At 36.7% G+C, this 21196-nt stretch overlaps 1 protein-coding gene across 3 annotated transcripts in view; it reads left to right on the top strand.

Moving 5' to 3' along the window:
* MOSPD2 (motile sperm domain containing 2) overlaps positions 1–16925 on the top strand; it is a 48907-nt gene extending 31982 nt beyond the window's left edge. For 2 of the 3 annotated variants that reach the window (NM_152581.4, NM_001177475.2), the window contains 8 exons: positions 3458–3582; positions 5835–6011; positions 6847–6959; positions 9101–9197; positions 10266–10362; positions 10795–10924; positions 13278–13380; positions 14270–16925. In NM_152581.4, the coding sequence (NP_689794.1) occupies positions 3458–3582; positions 5835–6011; positions 6847–6959; positions 9101–9197; positions 10266–10362; positions 10795–10924; positions 13278–13380; positions 14270–14407 (980 nt within the window). In that variant the 3' untranslated portion in view covers positions 14408–16925. The remainder of the gene's footprint in view (positions 1–3457; positions 3583–5834; positions 6012–6846; positions 6960–9100; positions 9198–10265; positions 10363–10794; positions 10925–13277; positions 13381–14269) is intronic. The other variant, NM_001330241.2, reaches the window with a different exon arrangement.

Here is a 21196-nt window from a genome sequence, read left to right on the forward strand (position 1 = left end):
CCACAGACTCCAAAATCCTTGGATGCTCAAGTCCCTCATATAAAATCGTATAGTATTTGCATGTAACTGACACACGTCTTCCTGTATACCTTTTTTTTTGTTTGTTTTTTGAGATGAGTCTCATTCTGTCACCTAGGCTGGAGTACATTATCACAATCTCAGCTCACTGCATCCTCTGCCTCCCAGGTTCAAACGATTCTCCTGCCTCAGCCTCCCAAGTAGCTGGGACTATAGGCACCTACCACCACACCTGGCTAATTTTTATATTTTTAGTAGACACAAGGTTTCACCACATTTGCCAGGCTGGTCTAGTCTTGAACCTCAAGTGCTCTGCCTGCCCCGCCCTCCCAAAGTGCTAGGATTACAGGCATAAGTCATCATACCTGGCCCCTCCTATATACTTTAAATCATCTTTAGATTATTTATAATACCTAACACAGTGTGAGTGCTATATAGTTGTTCTACTCTATTGTTTCTTATTTATATTTTTGTCGTATTGGTTTTATTTATTTTTTAATATTTTCAATTGTGGTTGGTGAATCAAAAATCCATGGATGTGAAACCTGTGGATATGGAGGGCCGACTGTATTGTTAAGAGGTCAACACTTCCCAAATTGATCTACTGATTCAGTGCAGTCCCTATCAAAAGCCCAGCTGCCTTTTTTGCAGAAATGGATATGTTTGTCCCAAAATTCATATGAAAATGCAAGAAACCAAGAGTAGTCAAATCTTGAAATAGAAACACAGAGTTGGAGGACTTAACACTTCCTGATTTCAAAATTTACTACAAAGCTACAGCAATCAAGACATTGGGCATGTATGGGCATAAGGATAAACGTATAGATCAGTGAAATCGAATTGAGGGTCCAGATATAAACCCTAATGTTTATTATGGTCAGTTGATTTTTTTTTACAATGGTGCCAAGACTATTCAGTAGAGAAATAAGGCTTTTTAAATAAAAGGTGCTAGGACAACTGGGTATCCACATTCAAAGGAATGAAGTTGGACCCCACCTTACATCATATATAAAAATTAATTCAAAATGAATCAGAAACCTAAATGTAAGAGCTAAATCTCTTAGAAGAAACACAGGATTAAATCCTTGTGCTTGGATTGGGCAATGGTTTCTTAGATATGACAACAAAAGCACAAGCAACAAAATAAACAGATAACATTGGACTGCATTAAAATTGAAAACTTGTGCCTTCAAGGACACTACCAAGTAGGTGAAAAGACAATTCTCAGAATGGAAGAAATCATTTACAAACCATACATTTTATAAGGGACTTATTCTAGAATATATAAAGAACTCTTACAATGCAATGTTAAAAAGACAAGTGGCTGGGCATGGTGACTCACGCCTGTAATCCTAGCACTTTGGGAGGCCGAGGTGGGCAGATCACCTGAGGTCAGAAGTTGGAGACCAACCTGGCTAACATGGTAAAACCCCATCTTGACTAAAAATAGAAAATTAGCCAAGCATGGTGGCACACGCCTGTAATCCCAGCTACTTGGGAAGCTGAGGCAGGAGAATCGCTTGAACCCAGGAGGCAGAGGTTGCAGTGAGCCAAGATTGCGCCATTGCTCTCCAACCTGGGCAACAAGAGTGAAACTCTGTCTCAAAAAAAAACAAGTAACCCAATTAAACGAGTGAAATATTTGAATAGATGTTTTTCTAAAGAAGATAAACAAATGGGCAATAAGCACATAAAGAGATGCTGAGCATCAGTAGTCATTAGAGAAATGCAAGTCAAAACCAAGTGAGGTGTGATTTCACACCTACTAGGGTGGCTAGAATAAAAAAGACATAATAACAGGTATTGGCAAGGATATGGAGACATTGGAAGCCTCATACACTGCTGGTGAGAATGTTAAGATGGTCTGGCCACATCAGAAAACAGTTCGGTAGCTAAACATAGAATTACCATATGACCCAAAATTCCACTCCTTAGTATATGCCCAAGAGAAGTGACAACGTATGTCTACAGAAAAACTTGTACACAAATGTTCATGGCAGCATTATTCATAATAACAAAAAGTGGAAACAGCCTAAATATTCATCAGTTGCTGAATGGAAAAGCAAATATTGCATATCTATAAAATGGACAATTATTCAGTCATAAAAGGGAATTAAGTACTGATACATGCTACATTATGAATGAAACTTGAAAATGTGCCAAGTGAACAAAGCCAGTAGAAAAAGCCATGTTGTATGGTTTCATTTATATAAAATGTCCAAAATAAGCAAATCCATGAAGACAGAAAATAGATTAGTAGTTGCTAAGGACTTGGAGAAGGAGGCCTAAAGAGAGATTGCTATATGAAGGTTCTTTTTGGTGTGATGAAAATGTTCTAGATTAGATTGTGGTGGTGGTGATGGTGGTTGCACAATTCTGTGAATATACTAACAACCATTGACTTGTATAAAGGGGGGATTTTATGGCATGTAAATTATATCTCAATAAAGTTATGAAAAATCAGATTTATCAGATTAAAGTAGCATAGTTTCAAACATGTCAACTCACATTTTAAATTGAAATTAATGAAAATTTAAATGTTATGTAAAAAACTTATAGTTAGCTAAAATAAAAAGATACTTCTCCGAACCATTTAATGTTTATCATACTGTTCTTAGTTTCTGTTTTTTTAATTGACAGTTTTGCAAATTTAATGCAGTATTTCTCTTTTAATTTCTTAAAAATGTACTTAGATTGTCACAGTGAAAATGAGGTTTAAAAATTAAGCATAAATAAGAAATGACATGACAGAACAAGATTGTAATTACCAAACAGCTGTGTTTGATAACAGAACAGGGCAGTTCGTGCCACTGCACTCCAGCCTGGGTGACAGAGTGAGACTCTGTCTCAAAAAAAATTTAAAAACCAGTTTATTTTTGAGATTTCGTAAGTTTCCCACAATTATATAAACTGCAAGGCCTGGGAGAGAGGCAGAGAAGTGTAGGGTTAGAAAGGAAGGCTGGATCCAGCTCACACTCATAATAAGAAGGGCTATTTCTTTCTTTCTTTTCTGACTCGCTGTTTGAGAAGGTTTTTCAGATAGAGAGTTTATCAGAACCATAAGGTAAATGACTCTTTCCATACTATTGTGCAGTTATTTCCTGAATCATATTGCTGTTTGATTCAGTGTCTGGAAATCTAAATAGTTGGGATCATTGATGGATTTGTTCAGAGGCCAAAACCCTGATAAGTTTATTAATGAACATCAGGGTAATTTAATCTTCCTGAATCTTCATGGAACATTTGAAACCCATAAGGGAGAGCCACAATGTAAACGCCTACAGAAATTAGAGAATGTTAATTAAGTACATCACGTAAAGATAAATATTAACAGATTATAGCCCAAACTGATTTCAGAAGACCTGGGTTAGCATTTATGGTAAATTAATTGAGACTAGGAATGATGAGAATTTTAATGAAGTGACTGGTTTTTCTTCAGCTGCTTTCAAAATTGTGAAAACCTGGCTTGGTCCAGAAGCAGTGAGCTTGTTGAAGTTTACAAGCAAAAATGAAGTCCAGGACTATGTCAGTGTAGAATACCTGCCTCCCCACATGGGTGGAACTGTAAGTATTTGAAACTTGTTTATAAAACAATACTGGATAATGGCACATTAGGCTGTATACTTTCCTCAAGGGAAAAAGAAAAGTAGTACCATAATATGCAAAGAAATATCACAGATACCCCCAAAATAGCAAGTAGTGTTACACACATTTTTAAAGTTTTAAAGTTAATTTTTTATTTTTTAATAGGTAATATATTTATGTGGTTCTAAACTGAAGAGTATTCAGAAGAATAATGAGAAATAAGTCTTCAGTAAAAATATCACCTCCTACTTCTGTTTCCAACCACCATATTCCCTCCCCAGCTGAATTTCTTGTATTAATTTGCAGGGATATGTATTACCCATATAAACAAGTATAGTATATAATTTTTCCTCCCTCTCATCTCTTCTAAAGTCAGTGTATTTATGTGCTAGTGTGCATCCTGCTTTTCTCTTCACAGTACGTCTTATTCCAAATCAATATGTAGCAGGCTCTCATACTCATTTATGGCTGCATAGTATTCTACTATCTAGACATAAGTTAGTGAATTTCCTCTTGATGTGTCTTTAGTGTGCTTCCAATTGTTTGCTGTTCAACAGTCTTTTTAGTTAAAAAGATACTATTAAGCATATACTATCCAGATTTTTTTGAGCTGATTTTTACTACTTATAAAAAAACTGTACAACTTATGGACTTGGTACGCTTTGGGTTAACTTCATAATGTTTCACTTATTTGATTTTTTTGCAATCTATTTTTTATACTGCCTGCCTGGCAAAATTGTATTCAATCAGAACTAGCAAGAGGAATAGTTTCGATATGTCCTTCTGTTTATTGTCTTTGATTAGAAAAGACCTGAACAAATATTTTTAATTTGAAGTCTGCTTCTTTCTTATTCTAAGGCTTTATATTTCACATTTTCACCTAGAAAAACCAAATATACTTCATTTCAGGTGCTATGCTTGATTTAAAATGTGATTTTATTTATTTTTAATAATTTGCTCATAAAATTGTTATATCTTAAATAATTATAATTAATATAATTCATAACATTTTAAATAATGTTAATTTTATGTATAGAAACGGTTATTTTATTTCCCCTCTCTGTCCTTAGTGATATGTTTCTTCAGAATTACAGTCAAAATTATAGTAGGACTACTATTTTTTAACATTAATTTTTAAGTATTTTTTTTCAAAAAATAATACATATACATGATTTTTTAATAAAGTAAATACAATACCAGAGATTGAAAAGTATAACAGTACCATGAAAACTACATCTGCCTTCCCAGGTCCATGCCCACTGCCACTCCCTAAAGGCAGTCACCATCAAGTTTTCTATCCCTCTGGAGTTATCTATTACAGTTTTTTACACAATGGTCACATACCATATATATTGTCCATTTGTACTTTTTTCACATCTTTTATTTTGCAGGTTACACCATATTGATTCACAGAGGTCTATCTCATTTTTAAACCAAAATATTCCACTGTATGGACGGGTATAACATAATTGATTTAATCACTCTTCTTTTAAAGGGCTGCACTGATAGTTGTATTCTAATTTTTTGCCATTACTAGTTTTGCTGCAGTGAATATCCTTGTAATAATTCTTAATATATGTGTGCAGCGAGAATGCATACAGAATAAACTCCTAGAAAAAAATCTGTGAGTATAGTTTTTAATTTAGATAGCTGTTGCCAAATTTCCTCTAAAGAGATTGTGCCCATTTACCAATAATGTGTGAGAATTCTTGAACCACCTCCTTGCCAGCATCGCATATTCTCATTTTTGTAGTCATTGCCAGTCTCAGGTAAAAAATATTTCACTGTCATTTTAATTTGCATTTCTTTAATTATAGGTGATGTTGAAAACTTTCTTATGATTCAAAAGACAATTTTCATTCTTTTTCAGTGTATTCTGTATCCCTCTTCTGTATTGTTACAGAACTTATATAGTTCTTTAAAAATACACACACACACACACACACACACACACAAACAACATATACATTTAAAGCTTTTATCCATCTGAAATTCTTTTTGGTGTAGAGAGCGAGCTAAAGATCTAAGGTGATTCTGTATAGATGGCTAGCCAATTGTCCCACACCACTTATTGCTCTTTTTCTTTCTGGTTTGAAATGCTTCCTTTATTTTAAATTTCATGATCTAATTAAGTCTGTTTTCTTGGCCAAAGTAATGAATTGTAAATCTACTAAGAGAGTTATTTCTCTACCCACCATTTAGTAGGCTCATGTGAAATTATTTTCTTGTAGGATCCTTTCAAGTATAGCTATCCACCACTAGTAGATGATGACTTCCAGACCCCACTGTGTGAGAATGGGCCTATTACCAGTGAGGATGAAACTTCAAGTAAAGAAGACATAGAAAGTGATGGCAAAGAAACATTGGAAACAATTTCTAATGAAGAACAAACACCTCTTCTTAAAAAGGTAACTTTATAAATAAAATGAAACTGAATCACAAGATGTGGTCTATCCCCAATTCTGACACTAGCCAGCTGTGTGATTTTGGGTAATTCACTTAACCTGCTACCCTTCCACATTTTTGTGTGTAAAAAGAAAGAGGAAGGATGGGATTAGCTGACCAGAAGCACCACTTTAGTGTATTTAAGTCTGATTCCAGGCCAGGGCCTGTGTCTTATACCTGTAATCCTAGCACTTTCTGAGGCTGAGGTGGAAGGATCGCTTGAGCACCGGAGTTTGAGACCATCCCGAGCAACATAGGGAGGCCCTGTCTCTACAAAAAATAAAAAATTAGCCAGATGTGATGGTGCACACCTGTCATCCCAGCTACTCTGGAGGCTGAGTTGGGAAGATCGCTTGAGCCCAGGAGGTCGAGGCTGTACTGAGCCATGATTGTGCCACTGCACTCTGACCTGGGTGACAGAGTGAGACTTTGTCTCAAAATAAAATAAAGGCTGATTCCATGCTTTTGTATAAAGACTAGCAAAACACATCTAGAAGTAATTGTTTTATCTAAAATTTTTTTATTTGTCTAAAAGTAATTAATTTAAAACTTTGATTTAGTTCCTTTCTCTAATTTTTAAAAGAGCACTTAGTAGTTGTCACTTTTTACAAGTAATCAGGAACTTGATAGATGGATAAATACAATGTTATAATTTAGAAAAATTTAAAGACTCTTAAGGGAAGGACCATATTGTATTTTCTAGAGTAACCTATGTTATGTATAATAGTAGGCACTAAAATAGATGTTAATGGTCATGTTAATATATGCTAAATAGTTATCCTTTTTTTTTGTCTTTAGATTAACCCAACCGAATCTACTTCCAAAGCAGAAGAAAATGAAAAAGTTGATTCAAAAGTGAAAGCTTTCAAGAAACCATTGAGTGTATTTAAAGGCCCCTTACTACACATCAGGTAATCGTCAAAGATTTTATTAGCTATAATTTTATAACATATCTTGATCACCTTGAGGGAGCCACAAAATTAAGAAAACTTCTATTTGGTTTTTGAAACTGTAGAAATATAAAACCAAGAGTTATCTGAAGACTTACCTTGGTTTCCAGACGTAGTGCATATGTTTAGCTACCTTGCTTTCTTCTATTATGTTGAGTGTCTTTAAAGGGTTCTCATCACACATCAGATAATAAAACTAAATATTTATATATTAATAAATCTGAATGGCATGTATTTTCCTCACATTACTGATACTATTAGACTTGCCCAAGTTTGGGAATGCCAGAAATGACACTAAAGTAAGGATTTGTTGATTTTACTTTCCAGAAGCCAAAGATGAACTGGAAAAATAGGTTTGTGACTAAAGCCAAACTTCAGGACATCTCTATTTTTCTGCTAGGTTATTTGATTCAAAAGATTCCAGGTTGTTTCTTTCAGCATTGTATAAAGACCTTTTTCTCACTGATGATGTTTTTGGTTGGTAAATATATTTTGCCTTACGTTACATTGCTACACCAACTTTATGATCTCATGTAGCATTTTCTGTCCCTTTACTTGAAACCTTTCTGTATAGCTATGTTTTATGTATATCTCTTATGAACAATATAGCCAGACTTTTAAAAAATCTAATCTGACATTCTCTAATTGATAGTATTAGCTTGTTTACATATATTTTGATTACTGTTATATTTGGATTTATCTCCGCCATCTATATGTATGAAAGACAGCAAGCAAGAGAGACATAGATGCGCATGCATTTTCTGTTTTTCATGGTTTTTCTTTCCCATTTTCCCCCTTTGGAGTTTATCTTTTTTGTTTGTTTACTTGTTCCCATTTTTCTCCCTACTTATTTGGAAGTTACACATTCTGTTTTCACTGTAAACCTGTTACATCATAGGTCCTTGCCTGTAATTGTAGAGGTATGACAGGAAAAGCAGGCTAGGGAGAAAGCCAGACAGCTTTTCACCTGCACATTGGGCTCTGCTCCTCCCTTCCTCCGCCCCCGGTGAAGTCCCAGAGCTGCTCCTACACAGACACAAGGACCTAACCAACCTCTGTCTTCCTGGAGCTGCTCACAGTTGTTGTGCTGGTTACTAAGAACAATGAGATCCATAACCTTGTGGTTTTCTATGACTTACTTAAGATTAGGCTCTAGAAGAAAGCCAGCAACCATGCAAATTTACCACCTTATCCAAAACTAGGCAAAGCCCTTCTGGGAGAGCTCATTCTTAAAAACATGTGTTAGTTAGATTAAAAAACACTCCCAAGGTACAGACATTCCTGATATAAAATTAACCTATTTAAAGATGTATCTCAAAATCAACGGCTTGCTGAAAATTCACTTTAGTTAAATTATTCACCTTTTTATATAAAACAAAAACACTATTCTTCCCATTGTTTTGAGCCACCTGATACAATTTGGCTAATGTAACTAAACTACACAAACTGCTTGAATCTTTTAAATTTTTTTTTAGGTCATAGGCATTACAATGGAAAGTAATAGTAAAATTTAAATATTGAAGCTCATTGATTTTACTATTTGATTAGTTCTTCCTACAGCTCCCATCCCAAACTTACTTTTATGTTTACTTTTCTCCTTCCCTATTACTTAGAAAAGCTGCTATATAGTAAGAAATTATTCTGTTAAATACATTCCTAATCATCTTTCTTTTTAAGTTATGCTCTTTTCTGTTGGTGTATAGAAATATGCCTCATTCTAATTATTTGTAATTAGGTAAAGTTGAAGCAGCAATATCTTCTTTGCTTTATTATCTATAACCTTCCAAATAGTTTAAATAAGCGCACCTTAAGATAGTGCTGATTATAGGATTAATCAGAGCCTTCATAACTCTCTCTTCTGTTCTTCCTGGTTTGCTTTTGATCTTGGGGAAAACCGTAGGACTTTTTAAATAGTGTGCATTGAATCAGTAAGATTAAAATACAAAATTGTATTAGGTAATTGTTTTGTAAGTCTTTTTTGGTGAAATGTCTTTATACAAATGAGCATAAGATATTAACTAAATATTTTTCTTCAAGCTAAATGATTAGATTGTCATTTATTCTGATTATTACAAATGTCTTATGTTTTTGTCACTCCCTAGCCCAGCAGAAGAACTGTACTTTGGAAGTACAGAATCCGGAGAGAAGAAAACCTTAATAGTGTTGACAAATGTAACTAAAAATATAGTGGCATTTAAGGTAAATATCTTAAAGATACAATAAATTATGTTTGAGAATTTGACATGGGAAGTGATTTTAGACATATTCTAATTGAAAGATTGAAAATTTTGAACTTGTACAGTGTTTTTATTTATGACAATTTTTAGGCATGTTGTACTACCTTCTGGTTCTAACCAAGTCGCATAGCTTTATCAAAAAATTTTCCCTGAGGTCTGTATCTGAATCTTTTACGTGCAGTAATAGGTTAATGTCTAAGTTAATACAAGGGTTTAATGTTTGTTGTAAATAACAACCCAAGAAAAATTACTCTTTACTATGTGAATAATTTAATTTATAATAACAGTGAAACATAAAACTATAAAATTGATAGTGCATTTTCCCCAAGTGTGGTATATTCTGGAGTGTAGTTTATATCGGATATTAACCTGATACTGAGCATTAAGTGTAACAAGACTAAGTCCGTCACTACCCCGTATTGTAGGTTTTCCTGCCTTAAATCTTCTATTTAATTTAGATGTAACTACCAGGATGTTCCTGATGTGCTTTGATTATCTACTGTTTTTTAATTTCTGAACACCATGGTATTAATAACATGCAATCTAATGTGCATTCTGTTTTTGTGAATTTATGTCATTAAATTCAGGCAATTAACAGGATAAATATTTAACAGATGGATTGTTTTATTTAAGAGGGAGTCTGAATGACAATTTGACTTATATATGAGTATGTTTTTAGATAGGTCGAGATGCTTTTTTCCTGTTAGTGGGGAAAAAATACCTTCTATGCATAATCGTCAATGTTACTTTGTAAACTCTTTGTTCATTGATTATTCACTGCTAATTTTTTTTTTAGGGAGATATACCTAATGCTAAATGACGAGTTAATGGGTGCAGCACACCAACATGGCACATGTATACATATGTAACAAACCTGCACGTTGTGCACATGTACCCTAAAACTTAAAGTATAATAAAAATAAAAAAAATAAAAATAAAAATAAAAATAAATTTTTTTAAAGTCATTCTTAAGCCATTTCCCCCCAAAAAAGCATAAAGGTTGTTATGTGACTACTGTGTTTATAAATAGGTGAGAACAACAGCTCCAGAAAAATACAGAGTCAAGCCAAGCAATAGCAGCTGTGACCCGGGTGCATCAGTGGATATAGTTGTGTCTCCCCATGGGGGTGAGTTGTCACTTAGTAGCCACAGCAGGTGTTGGGTGTGGTGGGGGTAAGGGGACCTGGACCTTGGCTCTGAGTCAGCAGAGATGTCAGGCTAGAATCTAGAAATTAGCAGAGTATCACGAGTCACCTCACCTCGCTGTAGACATCTTTTTTCCCACATGTGAAATGGGGTGGTCAAAGAGGTCTCTAAAGCCCTTTCCAGCATTAAAATGTATTGTTTCTAACAAGTAAAATTGTTTAAACTGACACCAATTGAAATTGAATTTCAAAAGAGAAATTTCCTCACTTTTAGAACTTTTTCCTTTTTAAAGACATTTCCATTTTCTTCTTTTTCCTTAATGTTGAGTTCCAGAATAATGCTTTAAACCACATGCATATCCAACCGCTTTGAAGGTTCCTGTTTATATGCTGAATTACCCTTTTGGAATGCAGGTTTAACAGTCTCTGCCCAAGACCGTTTTCTGATAATGGCTGCAGAAATGGAACAGTCATCTGGCACAGGCCCAGCAGAATTAACTCAGTTTTGGAAAGAAGTTCCCAGAAACAAAGTGATGGAACATAGGTAAGCTTTTCCCTCACATTCTTCTCAAATGTAGTGGGAAGAATCAGAAAGAGAAAAGTGCCTCCATGGACCAGGTGGCCTCCCTTTCTTCTTGCATCTGCTGGGTGCCCTGCAAGGCTCTGGGGATGCCCAGATGAAAGAGACCTGGTGTTGCTCAAGGAGGTCACTGATAGCAGAAACTCATTTGCAGGCCAGTGCAAGAGTCTGGATCTGTCCAGATCACAAACACAGATTGTCTCAGCAGTTCTCCCTGTAGGAGTGCTTACCTTACATACTAGAATGTTTTTTGCAGCATTGTTTGTAATAGTGAAAAACTGGAAAGAAAGAATCTAAATCGTAACCAGTAAAGCAATAGTGAGATACATTTGAGTATATCCACACTAAAGTGTGCTGCAACCACTCATAAAGGTACAGCAAGTCTATTTGTTCTGACATGGAAAGACATCTGTGATATATTTTAGAAAACAAATCTAGTGAGAAAAATTGGTTATGGACATTATTCTATTTAAGAGGGGGAAAAACTTGCATATATAGATATATACATGTATGTGCATGTATATAGATATATCAGGTTGTGACAAATTTCTTGAAAAGATATGTAGAAAAGGAGAATAGAAGGGGCTGTATTGTAGTTTTGCTTTTTTTAAATTGGAATTATGGTTTATTGGAGTGTTCACATTTTTCCCCCCAGGGGACATTTGTCAATGTCTGGAGACACTTTTGGTTGTCACAACTGGGGGATGGGGTACAGTGGGCATCTAATGGGGGCAGCATAGGGATGCTGCTAAACCACTAGCAGTACACAGGACAGCCCCATCCCCCAAAAATGATCTGGCCCCAAATGCCCATAGTGTCGAGGTGGAGAAATCCTGCTTTATAGGGTAGTTAAGGATGGCCACTCCGATGACATTAGAGTAGGCCCTGAAGGAAATGAGAGAGCAAGCCACATAGATAACTGGACAGAGACCTTTCCAGACAGAACAACAAATGCAAAAGGAGTGTGCTTGGCCTTTGGGAGGAACAACAAGGAAGTCACTGTCTCTTGACTCCAGTAAGGGAGGAGCATGGTGAGAGATGGGGACAGAGATAGTAGGATATCAGATCATCCCTATGGTGAGGACTTCTGAGCGAGAGGAAAAACTATTAGTTGGCACTAAGCAGAGCCATGAGGTGATCCGGGCTTATTTTTTTAAAGGATTCTTCTGGGTACTGTGTAGAAACTAGACGGTGGGCAGTGATACCAAGTTCACACTAAAGTGGAATTTGCTGTATGCCAGCACTGTTCTAGATGCTTTAGACATATTGATTCATTCAGTCATGAAGACAGCCCTGTGAGGGAGAAAGGCATTTTTCCTACTTTATAGAGAAGCTGGGAAACCTGATAATGGCTATGGTTGAATGAAACCTTCAGGGCTGGGCGCAGTGGCTCACACCTGTAATCCCAACACTTTGCGAGGCTGAGGTGGGAGGACTGCTTGAGCCCAGGAGTCCAAGACCACCCTTGGCAACATAGGGAAACTTTCTTTCTACAAAAAATCAAAAGCTTAGCTGATAGATCATGAAAATAGATTATGAACAGTGAAATTCCTGAGAAGGCTGAAAGTGCGGGGAACCAAAGCAGGGGAGATTAGCCTTAGTCCGGAGGAGGGAGAAGCAGATGGAAGTCAGCAGCCTGCCTTGTTTTTACGTGTAATATTTAAATTTTCAAATTGTATTACAGGAGGGCCTACTTTCTGTTTTTATCAAGAGTTTTTCTTTTGTTCAAAGACACTGGTTATGGGAATATTTTGAAAGGGTAAGAAACGCTGGTATAAAAGGTGTTGCAGATTAATTTGAAGTTCTTACGAAACAGTCCCTCAAAATGAAGGGTTATTTTTGGTTTTGTTATGTTCGAGTTGCTTTGTTTTCTTTGTTTTTTGCTTTACCAATTACTGATGGCTTGCTTTTCTATAACTGTGAGAGGAGATCACTGTTCTCCTGCAGAAAGTGGGAGGGAGGCTTGATGGTGGGGTACTGAAGCTCAAGGAAAGTACCTTTCTCCTATCTAGAAAGGGTGATTTCCTTCAAATCATAAGATATTTGGATGAATTCTACTGAATACCATATAAACACTTTCATTTGAATTTTACCGAATGGTATCTGCAATATGTTGTGTTCCTTATACATGCATTAATTAACGAAGCTGGAAGATACATATACACAGAGCAACTGTCTTAGGTGAACCTGGGGAAGAGGAATGAGGACTTTTACCTCTGTTACATAGACTTCTGTGTATAACTGTTTTCATTTTATATTTTACTTTTATAAGAAAATTAACTTTTTAAGAAGTTATGTTTTCTTTGGATTTTAATAGGTTAAGATGCCATACTGTTGAAAGCAGTAAACCAAACACTCTTACGTTAAAAGACAATGCTTTCAATATGTCAGATAAAACCAGTGAAGATATATGTCTACAAGTAAGTATACTTTCTTCCTACCCAAACAAAGTTGTTAATGCTGATCAACATTAGAAATCCCTTTTTTTCTCACGGACATAAAGAAAAACATTTGGCATAGACACGATAGAAATACTGTCTTCTTTGTGAAGAGATGCCAAATCAGAAATGGTAAGCAGGCCAAGTGTGGTGCTGCCTGTAATCCCGGCACTTTGGGAGGCCGAGGCAGGAGGATCACTTGAGCCCAGGAGTTTGAGGCCAGTCTGGGCAATATAGCGAGACCCTGTCTGTACAAAAAAATTAAAAATGAGCCAGTTGTGGTGGCACACATCTATAGTCCCAGCTGAGGCAGGAGGATTGCTTGACCCTGGGAGGTCAAGGCTGCAGTGAACCATGATCATGCCACTGCACTCCAGCCTGGGCAACAGAACAAGACCATTTCTCAATAAAAAAAGAAAAGAAATGGTGTAAGCAGTGAGTTATTTTTGGAGATCTACTAACCATTTGAAAGCTCTGGCCATTTTTAGCAAAGCACAAGGTACTTTGGGGAGTATCAAATAATTCAGTCTTGCAGAAAAAAGTACCAATTAGTGCATTTAAATTTGAAAGAGACAGAGGGGCTCTCTGAGTAGCTGAAGGCTGCTTAAGGGTTTCTGTACCTCTAGGAACTGACTGCTCTGCTCCTGTCTCAACTAGAAATTCAGACCTCTCAAAATGAGAATAAGCATAGACATATCTGTCCACCAAACAAATCTAATGCCCTGTTGCACTTCCACCTCCTTCCACCAGCCTTACAGAGTAGTGGGCCCCATCCTTTCAGTGTTTGGATTTCTAGTATTCCTGTTTGTCATGCCCATGATTAATGGCTGTTTTATTGATATAAATCTTTCATCCCCTCTTCCCTCTTCAGCTCAGTCGTTTACTAGAAAGCAATAGGAAGCTTGAAGACCAAGTTCAGCGTTGTATCTGGTTCCAGCAGCTGCTGCTTTCCTTAACAATGCTCTTGCTTGCTTTTGTCACCTCTTTCTTCTATTTATTGTACAGTTAAAGAAGTGGTGCCGGGTAGGAACCACGGTTCCTTCGTCCATTAGTTGGAAAAAGTAACAGACCTAAAACTCTACCAAGCTACTAAAAACATTGCACATCTGTGCTTCCTAAAAGGAAATATGCAGCACGTGGAGGGGAACACATACATGTCTTGAAAATAAACTGCTAGAATAAAGAAATGCTGGAGAAATTGATTATAAGAGACTATAGCTATTTAGTAAAGTAAGTAAAGGCATATCCATTGTGTAAATTAATAGTTTAAATATAATTTATTTTTTCCTTTTGATCTGAATACTTTTAAAGCTTAAGTTTTATCGTGTAAATACATTAGCTAAACTGAAAAGTATAAGTAACATGCTTTGTTGCAGCCAAAAAATGTAATCTGCTTTTTTATGACAGAATTATTATAGCTGAGCTGACTTACTAGCTTTTCTATACTATGTATATAGAAGAACATGTATATTGAGAAAGAAAACATACTTATATAGAGGAATTTATGTAACCATGACTTTGTAATTTTGAGAATTCCTCCCAGTGATGGTCAGTATTCTTTTGGAATGTAAACCGATTTAATGCCAAACCACCTTAACCTTTGTTTCTCAGTGTTCCTTAACAGCCTGCCTTTTATTAATCTCAGGCTTTTTTATGAACACTCTCATTTCAGTAGAATTTGGAAAACTAAGCGTGGTTGGAATTTCTTTGAATTCTGTTAGTAATGCCCAAAAGAAAAGTCTCAAGCAGTCCCCCTATCCAGTCATTTTTATGGAGTTTCATGTTGTCCACTATAGCTGGACACTGAACCTTTTGCCTAATTTATTATAAAGGCCTGACCCTCTATTGTCCCATCTTCACCCCCATTCCAGAGCAGAGGAGTCTCTGTGGACCATGAATTGCACTGTCTCCCTCCTCATTTCTAAATGAAAGGTATTAGATATAAATTTTTTTGAAAGGTTAGTTGTTTGAGATGCTAAGCAGGATAATAAATTTAGATTTTAAAATGTTCCCTGTAAAAGTCAGCCCATGACAAGGAAATTTACAAAATACTAGAGTATCTAGAAGGGTGAAAACAAAAAAAAATAAAAAGAAACACAGACGCCCAGGTGTCAGCTCTCCGTTTAAAGAATGAAAAATGTAACTCATGATGATCTGTGAAACCTTCAAACTAGGACCAATTGACTTACTTGATATTCTGCCTTTGATATGGTAGTACCCACCCGGTATTCCTAAAATCCTAAAAAGATACACCTTGCAGTAGCAGAGGCAATGACATGAGTTTGTTTTCTCATTAATATGACCAGTTTGGGTCTATGTTGGTTCACATGTACATCTACTTTATATGAAAGAAAAAACAGTTGTCTGCCTGTAAAATGTTGAGTTTCGATTGAGCCATGTTTGGAGATTTTATTACTATTCTGAAGGGTAGTGTTGTTGGTTTTCATCTTCAAGAAGTTGATTCCAAAACTGAGTTATGAAGAATGATATAACAGTTCCTTCAAAATTGGCCTAGGAAATAAAACCTTAAAAGGACACTGGTGTGCTACTTTGTCTTAATTTGGGCTTTTCTGTTTCAGTTTGCCACCTCCAGCTGTGAAATGGACTGCAGTCCACCCTAAGTACTGTGCACAGTATCTCCCTGTGTGTGTGCACAGTGGCTTCCCCTTACATGGTAGATTTTTGGCCTTAATATAATCTAATCCCAAAGTAGTTGTGTATGTTTTCTGTTCCTTGGCAAATAAATGAAGAAATAATTAGCCAAGATTGAAAATGTATTGTCCTAACGGTGTCCCTTTAATGTTTCATATGAAAAATTATGTTGACCCACTAAAATATCCTTGCTCAATGTCTGGTCAGTTGAATTTAATAACATATCTTGTTAATGTTTGTGTGTCTATTAAATGTGACTAAGCAGGATTACTGAAAATTCACTATAAAATCAAAGGCATCTAAACGTTTGTACTTGTCTTGATTAATCATATATTTACACTTGATTTTTTTCTGTCTTCATTTGTTTTTATTTAATCATAATTGCATGATTTTTTTGGTACTCTAATCAGTAATTTTATTTTTAATCATGTCATTACCTATTCATGACCAAATTACCAAGGAACCAACATTTAGATTTAGATATTTGTTTTCACTTAGGAATGGAAATTAATAGATTTTCCATGAAAGCATTAGTGAAATATCATTACCTTGATCTGCAAGTAGCCTAAAAATGCGATTGCTGGTAAACCTGGCCTCAAATTTCATACTACCATAACTGTTTTTATATATTGCCACTAATTTTGACTGGATTTAATAGCACTTTATTGTACAACTACAAAAAAAAATATATTCCTAGAATTGTTGCCAGTGTAATTTCTCTAATGTTCTGGTGCTTTTCATATATTTTCAGTATTTTTATTACTATATTGGTATTTTCTTTGTATAAATTGATTGATTAAAAGAACATGTTTTCTATTTTAATATGTTTTAGAAAAATAATTACATTTATGAAATAAATATCATCAGGAAAAAAACCTCTGGTCTCTAATTGATAAAGCATCTTAAAGAAAATCAATATTCAACCTCACTCTGACCTTTTAAAGATCATAGTAATTTCTTTTGGATCTGCTTTGCATTTTTATAAGGACAGTGCTGCAGGCCTCCAAAGATACAATTCAATGTCAGGTTAGCCTGTCCTTTAGTGTGTCCTGTTTCTGCTCGTCCCCGTGTCGGGTGTAGCTGCTCTTCAGTGTAGTTCTTCGTTTTCCCCAGACATAGCATTGGACCCACTGTCATGCTTACAGCTCATTGTGGAGCCTGTTGCTGGAGCTGCAATGAGTCAGAATTGCCACGTAGTTTCCCCAGTCCTAGTATCCACACATAGTTCTCTCTGACAGCAGCAAGCAGGAGGCAGGCTAACAAGAAGTCTGCCCAACTGCCAGACACACAGGGAAGATAGCAGTGTGGCACTGATCATTCTGAAATCAGACAACATGCTCAGGACCCGGGACCTGGGGGGTGTTGCAGAGGGGCAGCAGGGAAGCCCAGGATGGTGATGTTAGAGGTTCTCAGGGTTGTTGATGTCTGGTCTGTCACCACTGAAATATACAACCTCCCAAATGGCAGCTACCTCTCCATAAAAATAGCATGAATGGGACAGGTCCCTCTTCTACACTGAAAAATATGTGGAGATAACAAAATCAGGTGGTTAAAGAGTCCCAACCCTCTGATAAATTCAAAATAGAGCCACAAAGAATGTTAACCTGCCAACAAACACCATACCAACCCGGGATGTGACAGGGTGGTCTCCGTCCCTAAAGGGCACAATTTTCTAGGAGACTAGAGCTCCTGTCAGGAAAATCTCCAGCTAGGTAGGAAAGGATTGATGACTTTACAACAGTCTTCAGCTCTTTCTCCCCTAAATGTTTACCATCAACTCTAGGTTTCCTGACATCAGAACAATATGGGCCCTCAAAAGCATAGGGCTCCCCCTCTCTCCCTGGCCCAAAGAGACACACTAGAAATCTTCTGTTCCAACTGAAACAATGGTTGTTGGGAGTGAGGGCTCTGAGGTAAGACTACCTGTGTGACTTGCGAAAGTTAGCCAGTTTCAGCCTGCTTCCCTAAGTGATAATCATAGTACTACTCCACAGGTTAGGTGTGAGAATGAGAGAAAATAATGCATTTAAAGCATGCATGGAGTCTAGCCTTGCTTTGTTAATATATTGCCTCCACCTCCTTGTCAATTCTCTAAACTTTTTCCTGTTTTTTATCCACTCTTGTATTCTTGGCACCTCAATAAAATTATCAAATCAGTTCTTTCACAGCTGCATCTTAATTTGTCCTTATGTTGAATAAAAATTATCTCCCTGTAATGTCCAAAGAGTCTCATACCTTCTTTATTCCCCACTCATGTTGCCTGCCATGAAGAGTGAGACCAATCTCTTCCACGTGTTAAAATATTTGAAGACGACTGGTTTAACTGACAAGAATACAGAGAAATATCTCCCTGACCCATAGGGACAAGATTTGTGCATATTTTCAAGTCTTCCTAGAGGGAAAATTTGAGTGGTCCTTGAAACCAGCAGTTTTCCCACGCTTATCTTGAGCAGTCTTAAGACAAAACATACTTGTCATAACACGCAAATATGGTTGAGCAGCTTGAGTCAGATACCAAATAATTTTTTGGTCATAAGTGGAATACATCATAACATCTTGTCTTTTATAGGTAAGGAAACCAAGGGTCCAGGAAGTAATTTTTTCCCAAAGTAACATGACTAGTTGGTGTCAGAACAAAGAGTTTAATCTTTCAAGTCCAGTGCTGTCGTAACTGCCCAGAGCTGCCACATTTGAGTAGTAGGTTAAAATGCTGAACAGGTAGGTCTGAGAACTTTACTTCACCAACAGTATGAGAAGAAAAAAGAATGAAGATAAAATACTTGAGAAGCAGAGGTGACAAAGTAAAATAGCCACTCAGGACCCTTGGCTGGAAGTTTTTTGGTATTCTAACCTATAGACAGACTGCATTAGTCCATTCTCACACTGCTATAAAGAACTACCTAAGACTGGGTAATTTATAAAGAAAGGTTTAATTGGCTCACGGTTCTGCAGGCTACACAGGAAGCATGGCTGGGGAAGCCTCAGGAAACTTAACAATCATGGGAGAAGACAAAGCAGAAGCAGGCATGTCTTACGTGGCTGGTGCAGGAGGAAGACAGAGAAGGGGGAGGTGCTACACACCTTTTAAAAAACCAAATCTCATGAGAACTCACTATCACAAGAACAGCAAGGGGGAAATCCACCCCCACAATCCAGTCGCCTCCCACCAGGCCCCTCCTCCAACATTCCCCAATTTGGCATGAGATTTGGGTGGGGATGCAAATTCAAACCGTATCACAGACCATATTTTCAAAAAGGTTTTAAACATACAGGTTAACATATGTTTGCTTTGTGGAGTGGTTTGATGTGCAGCATCAACCTTCAGGGAGGTTTATTCATCTCTCTGTAGAAGGGCATATAGTAGGGTGTGTTGCCACCAGTTGTCTCAGGAGCCATCATCTAGTAGCCTGAACAGGTCTTGTATTTAATAAAATCAGAGCACATATGTTAGTTTTCTATTGCCATATAAAAAATTTCCACAAGCTTAGCAGCTTAAAACAGCACAAATGTATTACCATCTCACAGTTTCTGTGGGTTGCAGTGGTACAGCATGGCTGGGTTCTCTGCTCAGGGGCTCGGTAGTCTGAAATCAAGATGTCAGCTGACTGCATCCTCCCTGGAGGCTCCACTAGGTAAAGATGCACTTTCAAGTGCCTTCAAGTTGTTGGCACAATTCATTTCCTTGTGACTATAGGACTGAGATTGTCAGTTTGCTAGCAAAAGGGACTACTCTCAGCTCCTAGAGGCCCCTCCCAGGTCTTTGCAGCTTCCCACCCCTATAGGCAGTTTCCAGCATGGCTGTTGCTACCTCCAATCTTCCTTCAGAAAGGGCCGAGTTCCTTTTAAGGGCTCACCTGATTAAGTCAAGCCCACCCAGGACAATATCCCTTGGGATCAACTCTAAGGTAGTTTATTCAGAACCTTAATTATATCTGCAAAATTCTTCTTAATCATGGGAGTGATACCCCATCACATTCACAAGCAACACCCCACCCCCGTACTCAAGGAGAGATGCTTGGAGTGTGTTGGGTGGGACCTGCAAACTCATCCAATTCAGTCCCCCAGGAAACAGAGGGTTGAAAAGCTGAACTCAACCTTAAGCAGTGTGATTGACAGCTTTGAATTCACAGATGTTCCACACCTGAAAGGAAATAGACTAGAACTTCTTCATTAGGCACCAAATGGCGGGTGTTGAGACAACATATCTCTATCTTAGTTGGCTTTCTCTAGTCTCGCAGCTTCAGTTCACACAAGTATTCAAACTTTTATAAGTAAATTGTTAGAGGAAAGTATGTCACCACTATTTTAAACATTTATTCAATCATAAAAAGCACTTAAGAAAGATTCTCACAATGAGTTAATTTGCTAGGACAAAGGGTACTTCCAGTAATTGTGTTCTTTTATAAATGAAGCTCTAGTGAAAGCAATTAGCTTTTTTAACTTTCCCTTTTCTTTCAGAATAATCCATTTGCTTCAGTTAATTTGAGTTAGTTTTCTTAGACATAAATATGCTCCGTGGATGTAAGTAAATAAGAAGGTTAAAACTATTTAAAAAAAAAAAAAAAAGGAAACAATTCTTACAGAAACCTGCATCATGATATCCAACATTTATACTGTCCAATTTACTTTGGATTAAATTCTAGTGCCTTGAATTCTATTATACCAGAAAGTCCTCTGCACATTTTCAGGTTGTTCTGGAGCTATGTATACATGTATATGTGTTTAAAAATCTCACTGATTTCTTGGTTCATTTTGGAAATCATGTACATATGTGTGTATTCTTAATAAGTTTCTGAATGCAAGAAATTTCCAAAACTCCTAATATTATGCCTGACCCTTTCATTGCTGAATCTGAGACTATAACAAACCAAGAAGCCAATCATTTCTGTTTCTCAATCCAGTACCTATTTATCTTTTTTGCATCAAGTTTTCACTCTAATACTATCATACAGATTCGTTCAGTAGAACTTATGAAATTTGCCCTGAACTGTCTTCGCCCACTACCGTGCAAATATGGTTGAACAACTTGAATCAAATACCAAATAACTGTTTTCAGTCATAAACTAAATGTCAAAAATGTGTTTTGGGTACTTTTCCAATATTCTAGATTCTGTGACTCCAGCTACTTCCTTTTAGTGGGGGTGCA

The sequence above is a fragment of the Homo sapiens genome, chromosome X (genome assembly GCF_000001405.40).
Source record: "Homo sapiens chromosome X, GRCh38.p14 Primary Assembly".
Taxonomy (NCBI): domain Eukaryota; kingdom Metazoa; phylum Chordata; class Mammalia; order Primates; family Hominidae; genus Homo; species Homo sapiens.